The sequence below is a fragment of the Homo sapiens genome, chromosome 12, assembly GCF_000001405.40.
Source record: "Homo sapiens chromosome 12, GRCh38.p14 Primary Assembly".
NCBI classification, from domain to species: Eukaryota; Metazoa; Chordata; class Mammalia; order Primates; family Hominidae; genus Homo; species Homo sapiens.
Window position 1 is genome coordinate 79,787,053 of NC_000012.12, and position 18,811 is coordinate 79,805,863.

An 18,811-nucleotide genomic window follows, 5' to 3' on the forward strand; every position below is an offset into this window, starting at 1 on the left:
CTTCCACCATAATTCTGGCTATGATCATCTCTTATCTAAACTATTCTAATTCCCTGATCACCCTCTAATCTGTTTTATATATAGGAGCTAAAATTAACTTTTCAAAATGAAAATCTCATAATTTTCATAGGCCAACCATTCCATTTCCACCCACAAATTAAAAACTCTTGAATGGCTTCCCAGTGTTCTTAGCATACGAAAAATCTTACAATGGCCTATAAGGCACTGCATGATCTGGTCTCAGCCTATACAACTGCTGCCTCAAATGAATATTTCTTCCACTCTACTAGCTATAATTAAAATTTATTTATTCCAATGCATCATGTATTCTCCCCCCACCAGGTCTATGTGCTTGTAATTCCACTCTATTTGGAATAATTTTCTCACCCATTTTTGCCCGTTAACTATTAGTAATCCTTCCGTTTTTGGCTGAAACCACACTTCCTTTGGAAATCAATCCACTTTCTTTTTTTTTGAGATAACAGTTTTCCTCTTGTTGCCCAGGCTGGAGTGCAATGGCGTGTTCTCAGCTCACTGCAACCTCTGCCTCCTGGGTTCATGTGATTCTCCTGCCTCAGCCTCCCGAGTAGCTGGGATTATAGGCATGCGCCACCACACCTGGGGTAATTTTGTATTTTTGGTAGAGACGAGGTTTCTTCATGTTGGTCAGGCTGGTCTCGAACTCCCGACCTCAGGTGATGGCCTGCCACAGCCTCCCAAAGTGCTGGGATTACAGGCGTGAGCCACTGCACCCAGCCAAGGAAATCAATCTACTTTCTTTTGTTATATACTTTTATAAAATTGCTTTTCTACTTCAAGTTAACTGTCTCCATTATTTATTATACAGTCATTAGTATGACTGTGTAATAAGGTCTCTCTCCACTACATGGAAAATGCCCACAAGAGCAAGATAGTATCTTCATCTCCATTTACCCATGAGTAGAATCTCTCTACTTAGCATAGTTCAGTTCTTTATTGAATAAATGATGAATCTTACTCATAATGTAAAATGATTCTCTCCCTCACCCGTTCCCCTAACTTGGCTTTTAAAAAAGTATGTAATTCAAATAGCTGCCAGATAACTGGGGACATGTACAAATGCCATAAGCTTTCTCCTTCTCCAACAGACTTTATGTTTACTATAAGCACAAAATAAGAAGATATAGTTTCTGCGATTTATTCATTAATTACTTCAATCCTTAATAGCACTTGAGCTGCCCCAAGTTTTTCAGTTACCTATGAAAAACTACCAATATATTATCTTAGGAAAAGCCATCTTCTCTGTTTGGCTGCTTCCTAGTAACAAGAAACAAAGTGTGTATACATTTGTGTGCACCCATTTATTGAACGCTCCTTTCCAGCTCAATCATAGCAATGACTTGAGATACTTAAATGTAAAATCATCTTGGATGACTTTCTCTTCCCTTTAATAAACAAACAGCTATTTACATTCTACTTAACCATCACTTGCCGAAAACTGAAAATAAGTTATTTCAAAATACTCATTTCATTATGAGTTTTTAAAATAATATTTGAATGAGTATCTCAACATAAAAGATAACTTTTTATTAAATATAACTAAATAACCCAAGTACCTTTTTAAAGTCAGTTGAGTCATCCTTTTCTAGCCTGCTGCTGTAAGGTTTTCTTTCTTCTAAGTAACTGTATGATCCAGAGCGACCCAGCAAGGAATCATATCGATCACCAGCTGATGTAGAACTGGTTTCATATCTTCAAAAGATTAATTTAAATAAAAAACCTTGTTATAGGCTTTTACAATTATAACAACATACATCCTAGTACACATATAACTTGACAGTTCAAAAGAGTAGGTCACAGTCTCCCTCTGTTATCTGATTAATTTTTGTGATATATAATAAGTGGGAAGTTATTTTATTTTTTTAGATAGGGTCTCACTCTGCTGCCCAGCTTGGAGTGCAGTGGCATGATCTCAGGTCACTGCAGACTCGACTTCTCGGGCTCAAGTGATTCTTCTACCTCAGCCTCCTGGGTTGCTGGGACTACAGGCATATGCCACCATGCCTAATTCTGTACTTTTGGTAGGGATGGGGTTTCACCATGTTGCCCAGGCTGGTCTTGAACTCCTGGGCTCAAGCAATTCACATGCCTCAGCCTCCCAAAGTGCTGGGAGACTACAGGAATGAGCCACTGCACCCAGCCTATTTTTTTAATACTACTAATTTCCATTAATTGAGGAAGAGAGTCAAAATTTCCATGTTTAAAAGCCAAAACTGGTTTCATATAATGATTAATATTTTAAATTGTACACTTCCTCCCACATTTTAATATTTCCAAAACCAGAAAATGGCTTACAATTGATGATGCATTATAGTTTAATTGGTAGCACCTTTCCTTTTTTTCAGTAGTAGGTAACACAATGGTGTTTTAAAATGAGTAATGTCTTAGATTTGATGAAATAAAGTATATCCAAAGTGACAAGTAATGGGTTTGTCCTAAGCAGGAAAAACATATCTTACTGGTAAAGGAGAATTCTCTTATTATCTGGTTCTGAAATTCAGGTTACCTTTTCTGAAAGATGCCATTGGCTCTGCATTTCAATTCAATAGAATCATCAGTAGACAGAAATTTATTACTGGTCTTACAGGGCTGTGGTTAACAATGATAAGAGAAATGGAATGGAGATCAAAATCAAGGATATAGTGGAGGTTCTCTGAAAAGATGGATAATTTTGAATTAGGTGACACTTTTTTTTTTTTTTTTTAAAGACACAGGGTCTCACTGTATCCAGTGAGGAGTGCAGTGGCACAACCATAGCTCACTATAACCTTGAGCTCCTGGGAGCTCAAGTGATCCTTCTGACTCAGCCTCCCCAGCAGCTAGAAATAGAGGAGCATACAGTTATGCCTGGATAATTAAGAAATTTTTTTTTTTTTTGGTAGAGATGGAGTCTTGATGTTGTCCATGCTGGTCTTCAACTCCTGGACTCAAGTGATGCTCCTGCCTCAGCCTCCCCAAGTGCTAGGATTAAGGGTTGAGCTAGATGACACTTTTTTAAAAGTGTCTTCACTGGTTCTCTTTTGTCTAAAGCAGGGCTACAAGAGAAGATTCTGAATACTTAATCAAATACATTTCTGGCCAAGTGTGGGTTTTATCAGTCCCTGATGTTAATAATGAGATAGTTGAACTAACTTAAGAAACTTTGGAATACCTTTGTTGTAGAGATTTGGGGAAAAATCTTACTTGCTCTGACTAGTGATCTTGAAGTAAAGCCTTTAACAAAGAAAGCTAGTAACAATGATAAGGCCATCAAAATTTGTTTTTTATTATCAAATAATTCTATAAACTTACAAAATCCATAAATTCCTAGCAACACATTTTTAACAAAGATAAAAATAAGAAAAAAATGTCAGTTAAAAAATAAATAAAACATACCTAGAAATGGAATCCGTCTGGAAAGAAAGAGAAAAACATAGGCATACTAAATTTTTATGCTTTCATTAAACTATTAACCTATGATTATAAGTAAATTTAATGTAGTATCAATAGAAGCAAACGAATGAACACCTAAGGTTCTTTATGCATAACAGTATATACATATTTTGTTTAAAATTTACTTTCTCGAAATCTAGCTATATACCTTTAAGGTCAGCAATTAGGTGACAGGAAATTTAATTTTCTCAAGCAAGTGGTATGCTACACTGAAGTTCCAGAAAGTCTTATCTAAATCGTGAAATGATTAATAAGGTAAAACAGTCTTACTGGGGGCCAAAGTAGTCTTTTTCAGTAGTCAAATTTAGCCTTTTCTTTTTCTATTGAAATACTCACTGATTCTATAATTTATTCAGAATGGTTTGTTAAACTTCTTAATTTAAATATTAGTGATTTCCCATTATATTTATCTTTGGAGATACTGTAAAATTACTAGGTTACTTTTGGGATTGTTTAAAGTCTATTTTGGACTAAAAATGTTTTACTAAAGTCTGTAAATTTCCTCTGCAAAACCAATTTTAACTTTGCTCCTTACATTGTTTTTTAAGGTAATGTTTTCTTTTATTGATTTATTCTTTGGTTTAACAACAACTAACAATTTTAAAGAATAAATTTCAATTTTCAAGATAATCAAATTCAGTAAAATGGCCATTCCTGAACTAAAATGTCTACATATCAAACAAAAATAATACATCTTACCTTATAGTCTGCACTTACATTCACTGATTTAAATTTTAACAATAAAAAGTCTAGTGAGAAATCACTCAAATTCCATTATCTTTAAAAATCATGGTGTTATCACTGATTATTATTACTATTTTTGAGATGAGGTGTCGCTCTGTTTCCCAGGCTGGAGTGCAGTGATATGATCACAGCTCACTACAGCCTCGACCTCCTGGCCCAACTGATCCTTCTGCCTCAGCCTCCTAGTTAGCTGGGACTACAGGCATGCACCATCACATCCGACTAATTTCTTAAATTTACTGTGGAGACAGTGTCTCCCTATGTTGCCCAGGTTGGTCTTGAACTCCTGGGCTCAAGCAGTCCTCCCACCTCAGCCTCCCAGAGTGTTGGGCTTATAGGTGTGAGCCACCATGCCCGGCCTAGCATTATTTAAAAACTTTTAAGAATTGTGGTAAAAACCACGTAATATAAAATTTACCATGTAAACCATTTTTTAGAGTATATAGTTCAGTATTTTTAATTATATTCATATTGTTGTGCAAAAGATCGCTAGAACTTTTTCATCTTGCAAAAATAAAACTCTATATCCAATGAACAACTTCCTTTGTCCTCCTCTTCCTAGCTCTGGCAACAAAGGTTCTACTTTCTGTTTCTATGATACCCAAATAAAATAAGTGGAATCACACAGTTCTTGTCTTTTTGTAACTTGCTTATTTCATTTAGCATAACGCCCTTGTTCCCCAAATTTTAAGATTAATTTTCCAAAGTAAAAATATCTTTTTAAAGATAAAAAAGATTAAAATATATAGAAAGATATTCAGAAATATCTTTCTGACTATGGTATTGTAAAGTTCACATAATGGTATACAAAGTTCCTGTGTAATTCCTCATCCCTCCATTCTCTAGATAACCACTGTTATCTAACCAACCTTTTCTGGACACATAATATCTATGTGAATATAGAAAATATTGATCTATGCACATACATTGCACCTTATTTATTTATCTACATCCATTCTTCCTTTTTCTCATGGTATAGCAGTTACTAGGTTTAGGTGAGATGACACATGGCCCATGTTGGTAGCAAAATGGCTGCAACAGTTCAGTGATAGGCCCTGTCTATCCTAAGCCAACTATAATCCTATCCCTATGAGGTACATCAGCCTGAGGATGAAGCTGACACAAAGGACTGCAGAATATAACTGGAGTACAATACATTTTCTTTGTTTAATCCAGTTTGACTTAGGTTTCATATTGTTATTTATATTTGTTATATTTATTTATATGTTATTCATTACTTTAAAAGAACTCTAAACAATCTAAAGTAAACAAAAACTACTTAAATTGAAAATAAAAAAACTTTTCGTCTTAGAAACAATGTTCCTCTTCATCTTAACGTATCTCATATGATTTTAACAGTAAAACTTAAAATACAGTATACATCAATATGCTTCAAAATTACAACTTTAAAAGCCAGACAATCTCCCTTCCACTCCAGCCTGGTGGGGGCTGGAGTCTGCGTGATAAGGCAATGAGAGGTGTCAGATGGGGATGGTTTACTAATTTCCTCCCCTCTTGTTTAATAAAGAAGGGACATAGGTAAATTGGGGAGTTCTGATAACTGATAACCAAAAAATTTAGGTAACAGTTAAAGCTTTAGGCCTGCAAATAATTTAACCTCAGAACCAATTCACTCCTCATTGTCTGGCCACCTAAAGATAAAATAAAATTGTGGGGTCAAAATAGGCAAACTTGGCCCTAAAATAATGTTCACCGTCACCTAGCACAGGTAACCAACTTTTGTTCACATTACTGTAGATCCTTGCTGACTAAAAAGAAATGTAATAGCTCTATTAAGGAACTTCAACTCAAAATGAAGAAAATAATATTAATATGACCAGAATGCTATTTCATGCTAGACAGTGCCAGGTTTAGACTCGTGTTGTTCAGCTCTATCCTCATATGAACAGAAATATTTTGAATATTTTTTAGCTTTCTACACAGCCAAACAATCAGGAAGGGGGTCGGGGGAACTTTCAACCCTTGCTGGCTGTGCAGCCTTGTCATTCAAACTTGCTTTAGGTCCTTCATCAGTACTGAGAGGAAAAAAATGTCTTTTAGATTCTCAACATAAAAATCTGTTGGAGACTCTAAATTTCTAAATATATGTAAAAGAAAGTTAAAAGATGCCTATATTCTCCAGAACATAACTTTGAAATAAAATCTACAGAAATAAAATCTGAGCCTACTACTTCTGGATTTCCACTACTTCTGATTATCCTTTAGATATTTTCCTTTGGCCAAGGGTACTATTTCTTTTTTTGCTTTTTCTTTTAACTCCGAAGGTTAAATGACATACATTAAATTACATCCACTTAGAGTGTACAATTTGGTGAGTTTTGGCAGTTCTGTATATCCATAAAACCACTGCTAGGATCAAGACTCAGAACATTTTCATCACCTCCAAAACATTATTTTGTGACCCTTCCCAGTCCTTTTAATCCTGATCCCCAGGCAAACACTGATATTGCATACCCAGCATGTAGGTAGAGTATGCAATAACTGCTTTGCATGAATAAACATAATAAAACGCAATTTAAAAGTAATTATTAAAAAATATGAATACTTCTCAATACAAAAAGTAATGGTATTTACCTGAGTTTCTTTCTTATTGGATCCCTCTTCTGTGTCTGATTGTTGTTCTTGTTCATTTTCATCACTCTAAAAACAGATTGCCAATTTATATTTTAGGAAATTTTAGTAATAATTTCAAAATTTATTTTTTAAAATTATTTTTGGGAGTCCTTCTCTCTCAGAATATACATTGAGACATTTGTAGATAGAATGAGATGTCTAGGATTTTCTTCTAAATAATATGGGAGTTGGGAGATGGAGTGGGAATTTAGCTGAAAAAATGAATACTGGGGGTAGGGCTCATTATACTATTATGTTACTTCTATAAAGTATATGTTTAACTTTTCTATATTAAAAATCAAAAGAAAAATAGAAAACTATTTTCCGATTTCCCCATCTGTTCTTCCCTTCTTTGTCATTTATGTATGATTTTCCCTCTCTTTTTAAACTTTTTTAAATAGACATATGCACTCTTGATTCATCAAGTTGAATATATATTTTGTCCACAGCATGGACAATGCGAAGATACTAAAACTCTTCAACTCCATTTAATACTTTCCCATATTTTTGTGCTATTGTTTTCATATGCCTTAGCTCTTTATATATTTTAAACTGCAAATGACAATGTTATTTGTTTCATGTAATTAAGTAATTAGTAATTAAGTAAAATTAAAATGGACTGAAACACTGCAATTAAAAAAAAGTTCAGAAAAAAGTTGACCTAAATATGTTGTTTATTAAAAAAAACACAAATAAATTGAAAATAACAGAAAAGATATATTATACAAAGATAATCAAAAGGAAGCTTTTCAAAAAAGCAGAATTTAAGGTCAGATATAATATTAGAGATAAAGAGGAACATATAGTGAGAGATGGGTCAGTTTAACAGGAAGACAGATGATTCCATGTTCTTTCAGTGAAAGAATAGTTAGAAATTTTCTTTAAAAAATATTTTTATAACAATAGAAGTAAATGTACTGCTACATAAAATAGCATAGATATATCTTATAAACATAACAGTTATAAAATTTATAGTTCTAGTCATATGCTCTTCAAAAACAGGCATAGTTAACTACGGTGTTAGAAATCAGGATACTAGCTGACTTTGAAAATGAGGATGATAGGGATTGAGAGGGAGAACATGGGGGCAATCTACACTGCTGTTTTTATTCATCATTCTGAGTGGTGATTACATAGATATGCTCCTATTGTGCTAATCCATTAAGCTATACATGTATGAATTATGTTTCTAAACATGCCATACTTCAATAAAAGGTTTATTTTTTAGAAAATGGAAACAAAATCAATGAATAGCAATGTCAGGCCTACAATCAAGGACCAGGAAAACACTAATTTTTACAAGACTGTTGTAATTTGATAAGCAAAGCACTGTGTCTATTTAGCATGCTTTGAGATGGAAGTAATCTGTAATGTAGATCTTATAATGATATTTATGAAAATGAAATTAAATAGACTCCTTAGAAATTCTTAAAAGATGTTTTTACAAGAAGCAGTTTACCTATTATAAAATAATCAATACATGCACTCTGAGCTTCAGACATTATTATTTCTATTCCATAATTAGGTCAGAACCACTCCTTTTAAGTAGTACCAACAATCTAAGTAGTTAACTATCCTTAAAAATAATTTTTCTTATTTAACAACTCAGAAAACACAGTGATGATTTAAGGAATATGAAATCTAAGGCATATAAGAAATTATTAGTATGTATTTTTGGACACATTAAGAATACTATCAAGAATACTATCAAATAATGTATTTTAATAGGTTCTCACATCTTGTGTCCAAAATGAAACTCCTGTAGATCTTCTTTTCTCTCTTGGTCGTCGTCGTTCTCTGATTGATTTAGGTTGTGATTTATCTTCTCCTTCTTTCTCCTCTTCTCTTTTTTCTCCCTCTGTTAAGGATTGCAATGAACCACAATATAGCAATATATCTTGACAATATTTTGCAAGGTAATTGTAAAAACAATGGGTAAAATGGGCCAGGGGACTATCTAGGGGGATGGAAGGTAGGCAGCTGCTACTACTTAGCTCCAGCCAATTGTTGGTATGTGAGAATTCAGATCCAGTGTTGCCAGGTCAGCCAACTTTTCAAGAAATGGCAAAAATCTGAAGTTTGAAGTGAGTATCTCTAATTTTAAATGTTGGTTCAACATTTTTACAAACACAATGCAGGCCTCACACATAGAAGTTTAAAGAACTGAAACATCTCAATGATCAACATGAGAAAATATATAGCTGGAAATTGGGAAAAAACTTTATTTTCTGCTGTTTATTCTACATTACTACTGATATTATCATGACTAATACTGTAAGATTTAGGCTTTAAAATATGAAATGCCTATATTTAGTACTTATATCTGATTTAAAGTAGGAATTACTCAGAATTTAAATAGAAAGTTTATATAAAATAATAGGAAATGGTAATGAGTATCAATATGCCAATATATAGTTGAGAAAGAAATGTATTTTTTAAGAAATAAGCATAAAAATGTGTTTTAGTGAGAGCATTACATGTAGTTAGTAATTTTAGTTTACAACAATTTCACAAAAAAACATTTAAATGATATGATCTACACAGTAGGCAAGAAATAGCTTAAAGCATCTGAGAAGTACTACACTAGTAAACTGCTTCTAGAAATAGTCACCCACCAGTTCGATATTAACTTTTCGTTGTAGGTGGACATGAAGATTTTTGTGAAGTATTAGGTTATAAAAATATTAGTATCAACAGCAGGCCATATTCTATTTCTGTTTTCTACTTTTCTCATTCTCAACCTTCATATTCTTTCTGTTTAGGTTCGATGAATCACAAGTTAGGATGCTGTTCCTTTACTGTTGAATTATTATTTAGGAAACCCTAATCCAAAGGATTATATGAAGAAAGCAAAGTGTTTTCAAAATTTGGTATTCTTACCTCTTTCATTTTCTTTTGTTATTCCTCTGGAGTAAGCAGAAGTTATGCCTACAAGACTATTTGGCCTGTTTAGTTGACTTGAAGCATACAGTGAACTGCTCATAGTAGAAAGTGAAGAGGATGGAGTGGTTGAACTTGAAGTTGATACTGGCCTATAACGCTGGTAAGTCTGTGAAACATTAAGATCAAAACCCATTTGAAACATTAAACACAATTAAAAACATAAAAATACTTAAAAATTCATTTCAAAGAAAAAGTAGTATACTAATCACGCCAAAGTAATTCAAATTTCCAGCTAAAATCCTTTACAGTATTTTGCATATGGTTTGTTGGTATATAAATCTCTTGTATGTTAAGGATCATAAGGACTATTCATACCATTTGACTTAAATGTGCTTTTGATATACTGTTACCTCATCATACGTTCTGGAGTACTTTTGTTTATATTCATCTTCTCTAGATGTTTCTGACTCCTTCTTTTCTTCTTGTTTCTCTTTATCTTGTTTCTCTTTTTCCTCTTTTTCTTTTTCTTCATTTTCTTGTTCTCTGGTTCGGGTAGAACGACTTCTTCCTATTGTTTTCTCAGCTTCTTGAAGATCAGTTAATGTCACTCCCTGCACACACAAAAAGATCAATATAATTATGAGATGCATTAAAGCTTGTTTCAAGGAATATTTTAGAAATAGATATATTACATACAAATGCATTAAAAGTCAAATATGCATGTTTAAAATTGGTTTGCAAATGGAAACAGCAAGTTACATTCATTCTATGAAGAATCACCATTAGCAAGCACAACGATAGGTACTGGATACTCTATGCATATAAATGTTCCCCACAAGTTCAAACTAGAGAAGAATAGCCAGTATCTGTACTGTTTGTATATTATAAATATTTATGTTTATATATATGTCTGTGTGTGTGTATATATATGTGTGTATATGTATCTATATACACATGCATGATGATTGTTAAGGCTTAAAAGAGATTTCGATAAATTTTTCAAGATTTGACCTTGAAGAACAGGTTAGATTTCAAGAAGTGAAAAGTATAAAGACAGAAAAAGTATATTAAGGCCCTAGCAAATAGTTCAGCTTGAAAGCTAAGTAATGGTAAGGATAGACAGCTGAATCTGGACTGTGGAGCTTCTTAACTGTGGGAAAGCAGAAAGACACAAAAGTATACATCATATACAGCATAATCAGAATGGCAAAACGGAGGTAAGGAGATCGCCAGCCTGAATGACATTTTCTTCATACTTGCATATTAGTTGTTTATACCTAATATACGAGCCTATTCTCTGCCCCCGATTTCCAAATATTCATAGAACTTTTAAATACTTATTAGACATCATATGATTAATTTATTCTAACCAAATACTCTGGGCCAGACACTGTATTAGGAATAAGGATTTAAAAAATACTCAAAAAGACACAAAGGCATATGCTAATTAGATGAAATACAATAGTAGCAGTGTAACCATACAAAAGGCTATGAGCAACCTTTACCTTTTAAGGATTTATTCACACTAGAATTACTAGAATAACTACAGCAACCTTTACCTTTTAAGGATTTACTCACACTATATACTGACATCAATATTTTCACAACAAAGTGAAAAAGAGAAAGGTAACTTGTTTTATGTCAGTGTGTGTATATATATTTTATATGCTACTTATGTAAGTTTTATATATTAATTACATTAACTATACCTGTGTTGATCTTCTAGATTGTCTTGCTTGTCTAGATCTTGCTTTTCTTTGGGATTCAGACTCTTCATCCCTAACAGGAGTGAGGTATGATCTACAGTAGTAAATTGAAAAATCGTTAGTTGTAAATACAATACCTGTGAATGTAAATATCTATCAATGCATATGAATAAAACATACAGGTTTAATATCTTAGTAAGTTTTAAGGAAAAGTCTTCAGAAAATGGTCTTTGAAATTCAATAATGCAATCTTATAATTTCTTTTTAGATTGGAACTAGTTATATTTTAATAATTATATTTTAACATCACATTTTAACTTCCTAACTACATTTTTTAAAATAATGTAATTTAATTTTAAGATGGAACCACATTTTTAAAAAGGATTTAGAGAACTGAAGATTAAAAATTTTAGCTCTATTGAAAAAAATAGAAGGATTTCATTTAGCCCAATTAAGCAGAATGGATAAGGAGTAAATTTTTTGTCTGTTTTTAACTGAGGAAGGTCCTCTTCTCCAGCCCTGAAAACATCCCCCAAAAGTGATAATCTAAGCATCTTACTTAATGACCTACTAAAAGGGGTTTTAAATTATTCTCTACCTACAGTATTTTCAAATATTGGAAGACAGGTATCAAATTCCTTTCTAAATCTTTTTTTTGTTTGTTTTGTTTTTTTTTGAGACAAAGTCTCGCTCTGTCGCCCAGGCTGGAGTGCAGTGGCGCGATCTCAGCTCACTGTAACCTCTGCCTCCCGGGTTCAAGTGATTCTCTCACCTCAGCCTCCTGAGTAGCTGGGACTACCTGCACATACCACCACGCCCGACTAATTTTTTTATTTTTAGTGGAGATGGGGTTTCATCCATGTTGGCCAGGCTGGTCTCGAACTCCTGACCTCAAGTGATCTGCCTGTCTCGACCTCAGAGGGTGTTGGGATTAAAGGCGTGGGCCACCGCGCCCGGTCTCCCTGCATTCTTGTCAGTGTGCTCTTACTAATGACACGTCAGACAACATATTATTGTTCATACTTTTGAGTGCTCTAAAAAATTCCAGTGTTTTTTTATATATAAACAGCTTTTAAATCAGCATGTTACTTCTAAGTAACTGATTTTCTGATATAAAGAACAGGACTTGGCATTTATCCTCACTAAATTTCTTCTTATAAATTTAAGCCTATGTTTCCTCTTGTCACGGGGTATGCACCTTTTCAATAGCAAGTAATCTGTGTCAAAAGTTAAGTAGGGCTGGGTGTGGTGGGTCATGCCTGTAATTCCAGCACATTGGAAGGCTGAAGCAGGCTGATTGCTTGAGCCCAGGAATTCGAGCCCAGCCTGGGAAACATGAGGAAACCTGTCGCTACAAAAAAATAGAAAAATTAGCCAGGCATGTGGCACATGCCTGTACTCCCAGTTACTCGGGAGGCTGAGATGAGAGGATCACCTGAGCCTGGAGATCAAGGCTGCAGTGAGCTGAGATTGTACCACCCCGCAGCGTGGGTGACAGAATTGAGACTCAAAAAAAAAAGTTAAATAATTAAAGAGTCAAACAAGCAAAGATATGACAGAGCCCTGCAACACAACATAAAGACTTTCCTCTGATAATCAATATTTCTTGGGAAGTTCAATCATTAACGCTTCATCAAATTACACCACCTAGCTCACATTTCTCAGAGAACACTTATAGAACCAGAGTACAGTTGACTGCTGAACAACACAAGTTTGAACTGTGCAGGTCCACTTATATGAAAGTTACACCAAGTGTGCCTGCCTCTTCTGCCTCCTTCCACCTCCACCACCTCTGAGATAGCAAGACCAATCCCTCCTCTTCCTCCTCAGTGTGAAGACGAAGAGAATTCTGACCTTTATGATGGCCCACTTCCACTTAATGAGTAGTAAATACAATTTTCTTCCTTATGATTATCTTAATAACATTCTTTTCTCTAGCTAGCTTTATAGTAAGAATACAGTACATAATATATGTAACATACAATATATGTGCTAATCAACTGCTTATGTTATTGGTAAGGCTGGCAGTCAATGGTAGGCTATTAATTTAGATTAGGGGGACTCAAAAGTTTTACGCAAATTTTTGACTGCACAGGGAGTCAGCACCCCTAACCCTTGCATTGTTCAAGGGTCAACTGTATCTCTATCTTCTATGCTGTTTAAATTTATTAAGTTTACTCCATGTATCTCCCTCTCAAAACCCCAGGCAATGATCTAGTGAGTTTTCTTTATTCAAATGCTACTTTTTTTTTTTTTTTTTTGAAACGGAGTCTCGCTCTGTCGCCCAGGCTAGAGTGCAGTGGCGCGATCTTGGCTCACTGCAAGCTTTGCCTCCTGGGTTCACACCATTCTCCTGCCTCAGCCTCCCGAGTAGTTGAGACTACAGGCGTCTGCCACCACGCCTGGCTAATTTTTTGTATTTTTAGTAGAGACGGGGTTTCACCCTGTTAGCCAGGATGGTCTTGATCTTCTGACCTCGTGATCCGCCCACCTCAGCCTCCCAAAGTGCTGGGATTACAGGCATGAGCCACTGTGCCCAGCTCAAATGCTACTTTTAAAAAAGGCTCTTTCTTGGCTGGGCGCGGTGGCTCATGCCTGTAATCCCAGTAGTTTGGGAGGCCGAGGCAGGCGGATCACCTGAGGTCAGGAGTTTGAGACCAGCCTGACCAACATGGAGAAACCCCATCTCTATTAAAAATACAAAATTAGCCGGGCGTGGTGGCGCATGCCTGTAATCCTAGCTACTCAGGAGGCTGAGGCAGGAGAACTGCTTGAACCTGGGAGGTGGAGATTGCAGTGAGCTGAGATTGCGCCATTGCACTCCAGCCTGGGCAACTAGAGCAAAACTCTGTCTCAAAAAAAAAAAAAAAAAAAAAAAAAAAAAAAAAAAAAAAAGCCTCTTTCTTTTGTTAGCTTTAACATTCTTCTCAATTTGTAATTCATTTTTTTAGCCTAACACTATTCATACAATCATAACAAACCTCTGAATTTACTGTCAGTTTTATGCCTTTTCTCTGTGTCCTTTAAAGCTCTCAGTTCAGCGAGTATAGCGTATCTTCAAACATCCTTAGAATCATCTACCATTTTTTCAAAACTCCTTTTAGAGAGCCCTCATTCTTTTTATATATATAAGGAAATCATATTTCTTTCTACAACCCTGAAATTTTTGGAATCTGTTTCTCTAAAACTAGAATATATGACACTATTCTTAGCATTCACCTCCTTAGACAATTAACCCTAAGATGACCAGGTAATTTCTCACGCAAGATCTTAGTTGCCTCAATTTCATCAATTAACTCTTACTTATTGCTTAAAATTAGTTCAGAAAACTGGTTCTTCTTGCTGTTTCCACATAATTACATTTGTAGCTAAGTCAAGAAATTTACAAGAGGGAGTTTTACTTGAATGGGACATCCAACATACTTATATTAAGATGAAAATTCCATCACTATTATACTTTGACTTTAATTTTATTTAGATATAACAGATACTATGTTTTTATAATTATTATAGTGAGTTTCCTGGGACAAGTAATTCAAAAGGAATAAGAGAATAACTAATAATCTTGTTATTAAAATTTAAGAAACATTAATTCTGGGATATAAGAGGGGCTTGTTATAGAAAATGATTGCATAAATTAGGGAAATGCTATACATTCTAACCTTCTCTAGGAAAATCACAATAAAATATTGAAAGGTCTGTGATACAATCAGAGATATAACCTATATTAACTTGGCTTAACTCAGTACTTCCCAAGACCATTTAAATAGAGAATCCTCCACCCCTGACCCATTTTGTGGCATATTCAGTAAATATAGAAAAGTGCTCCTAAGAACATCAGCCTGGAAAATGTCCAATGGCTATTTTTTCCATTCATTCATTTAATTTATGTACCTACTGGCCCTATGCAAGTTATTACTTTTTGGACTTCTACCAAAGGAAGAGAAGAAAAAATAAAAGGAGATGAAACCTAAATGTGATCGTTAATCTGGTTAAACAAAGCTTATAGCAGGCTGGGTACAGTTGCTCATGCCTGTATTCCAGCACGCTGGGAGGTCAAGGTGGGAAGACTGCTTGTGGCCAGGAGTTTGAGACCAGCCTAGGCAACATAGCAAGACTCCATCTCTACAAAAATTTAAAAAATTAGCTGGGTGTGATGGCACACCTGTAGTCCTAGCTACTCAGGAGGCTGAGGTGAGAGGATCGCTTGAGCCCAGGAGGTCATGGCTGCAGAAGCTATCATCACACCACCACACTACAGCCTGGGTGACAGAGATCCTGTCTTGGAAAAAAAAAGTTCATAGCAAGACAGATAGGGTGCATGCTATCACTTTAGCATTTCATGAGCTGCTCTGAAACTAAATATGAACGTGAACTACTGTCAAATTTGACTACAGTGAAATGTTTCATATTTAGTGTATAACAGAGAAACTTGCATTGACACTTGGCTCTTTTTTAGTACCATGGCAAATAGTACTATCAACCACTACACTCTCTCCCTATGAGCCTGGATTCCTTTTCAATAGTTTCAAATTGCCATGAAAGTCAATAAATCTATCATACCTGGTTTCACATATGAAGGTTAGGGGGATAAAAGTTACTAACTGAAATACATAAAATCTGCACCTGCAGATAATTTTAATTTTCCATATGACATTCATCCCAAATTAGCATAAAAATATAGCTTATCAATTTGTAATATAAACACATTTCCTTTATTTGATAATTACCACCTAATATTCAGTTCCTTTCTCCTCCTTTGGGGTACCTATCTAGAGGAGACCTCTAAGAATACGACATAGAGAAGAAAAATAATTTATATATTTTATGTACTTTTAATTGCAAAGAGCTGATCATTAAAAGATGGTAGAATATACCCACCAAACCCCATAGTTGCCTTTATCATTGCTGTATCACACTGACCTACTGCATCTCTTTCTTAGAACTATATAGGGTATATAATTTTATTCCTTAGATGCTTACCATTTTCTGAGCAACCCAAAGGGTATACCTGTGTTGACTTTTTTTGTTTTAGCCACAGTATATTCTCAAATCAACATATATACATTTTTTAGGCAAATTTTAAATCATATACATTTCAGAACCACTGACGAAATTTAAATAAAAGACAAAGAGAAGAGGCCAACAATGTATTCAAGATTGCAAACAATTATTTCACATGGAACAAAACACAAACAATATCACTGCAAACATCATTGAAACAAGGTTAAGACAAACAAAAAACCTCTATAATATAGACGAGAAAAAATGTTGCCACATTTTTTTCTTATGCAATTAGAATCTGTTTGTTTAAAAATATATCCAAGCGTTTAATTTTCAATCTTCAATGTCTTCCATTAAAACTAATTAGGACTAATTCTAAAAGTCAAAACTCAATTCTCTTTAGCAGAATAAACAATCTGTGGGTTAAGAATCATAATTTGTTCTGAAACAACTGATGATTCTGGGGAGACATTTATTAGGTTTTGTCACTGGAGAAATTTTCAAAAGCACTGAATCTCTATGCTAGAGATAGAAAAGATTCTAGAAGTTAAAAATAATATAAATCAAACACCTCATTTAACAGAAGAGTTTCTGACTCAAAGATAATTCTAACCTTAAGAATCAAGGCAGAGTAAGGAGTAAGAAACCAAGAACTTCTGATCCTTCTTCCTTTCAATAACCCCTCCCAACCCCACCACCAAAAAAAGCAAAGCCCTCAAACTTATTTAAGTTTGATTAAATGATGGATACTAATTTCTGTTGGCTCTGTGGTCTTACTGAGAAGCACTACAACAACCTAAAACTGACTTAAGTTTATAGGAAAAAGGGGAAGATAATTAAAATATAATATGACCTATACTGGTACTCAAATCACAAAATACTAACCACTTGCAGTGGCATTATAAAAGTACCACTAAATTTCACCATAGAAATAGAAACAAAACCTAAATATAGGCAAAAACTAAAGATGCAATGATAGAAAAAAAAGTTAACACTAACTTATTACTTTTCATATATTCAAACACAAATATTACTGTGAGGCCATTACTACTACAGGCCAGGCACTTCAGTAGGCAACAGAGAAAAAGAACTCTGTATGTAAGTACTACGTGACAGAAATAAAACAAAGTTAATCTGGTCAGTATTTTAGTAAAAAAAAAAATTAGTTACATAGTTCATTTAATTTTGCAAGAATAAAATATAAAAATAAAGCTCACATTTGGTTTCCTAAGGTTTTATTTTTTTTCAAGAGGAAAAAAAAAGCTAGGGACTATGCATAATATAGCAGAAAGAACTGAACTACTTTTCCTGCAATCTTGGGGCTAGCCTCAGCCCTCACACCAATAAAGCATACAAAAGTAAAATAGTCACATATTATCTCTGGGTCTCAGTTTCCTTCGGTAAAGCAAGGAAATCCCAAAAGATAGTTAGTAAGCTCCTTTGTACATCTATGATTCCATGCCAGTAGGCAGCAACAGAAAGAAGTGAGCAATCTTTTAAAAATATTTAAGCACACAAAATAAATTCAGACTCTTTGAAAAAATCTGAATAAGTGCTTTCTATGTATCAGAGATAAAATTAAATGAATGTATTCAACATACTCAAAATTATTTGGCTTACACTTATGCACAGAAGTCTTTCCTTACCAAGAGAAGAAATTCTCCAAATCAACAGGAACAAAACAGTTCAACATCCTTCAAATTTCTTAATAATGGGAGGAAACAATGAGAAGAATGATAAAACCTGTTTTTGTCATGTTGCATCTAATTTTCCCTAAGTGTGTGGTGTTTTCAGTTCTTCATCAAAAAATTTTTTTTGAAATAAACCACCTTAGAAACTAAAATGTTTAAGAAAACAACTGTCTTGCTCACTGACTTTAAACAAAAAAACATTAATTCTGTCAGAGGTGAGTCGCAAAGCCTAAATATAAATAATTGCTAGTTGTATAAATTTACATAGTTCTGAGCTGACAGGGTATTTCATTTATTAGTCTACTGGAGAGATGGCCATCAACCTCACAAGATCTTTTTTAAAACAAAAAACAACTTTCATCACTGGGCAAGATATATCAGCAGTACTGTTATGACCTTTACACACCTGCGTCTCTCCCTGACCTCTGTTGTGGAGGAGACAGTGCCAGCAGTAGTTGTAGTCAGGGTTGTGGTAGAAGCTGCAGCATTTACAACAGTTGGAGCAACAGGAATGGTCACTGCCGTAGGAACACTGTCCTTTTCTTTCTCAGTACTATCCTCAGCCCACAAACGATTTGAGGTACTATAGCATCATAAGCAGCAACACAAAAAAGAGAAAAGGAAAACAGCTAAACAATGAAAGCACTTTCTAGCAGCTGAAAACACATGACTACAGGG

The 18,811-nt window shown here is 34.4% G+C and overlaps 1 protein-coding gene across 5 annotated transcripts in view; it reads right to left on the minus strand.

Moving 5' to 3' along the window:
* PPP1R12A (protein phosphatase 1 regulatory subunit 12A) overlaps positions 1-18,811 on the minus strand; it is a 161,898-nt gene that overhangs the window by 13,490 nt on the left and 129,597 nt on the right. For all 5 annotated transcript variants that reach the window (NM_001244992.1, NM_001244990.2, NM_001143885.2 and 2 more), the window contains 8 exons: positions 18,540-18,716; positions 11,442-11,532; positions 10,143-10,343; positions 9,730-9,898; positions 8,586-8,707; positions 6,811-6,876; positions 3,415-3,431; positions 1,596-1,731 (listed from right to left, as the gene is read on the minus strand). In NM_001244992.1, coding sequence (NP_001231921.1) covers positions 1,596-1,731; positions 3,415-3,431; positions 6,811-6,876; positions 8,586-8,707; positions 9,730-9,898; positions 10,143-10,343; positions 11,442-11,532; positions 18,540-18,716 — 979 coding nt within the window. The remainder of the gene's footprint in view (positions 1-1,595; positions 1,732-3,414; positions 3,432-6,810; positions 6,877-8,585; positions 8,708-9,729; positions 9,899-10,142; positions 10,344-11,441; positions 11,533-18,539; positions 18,717-18,811) is intronic.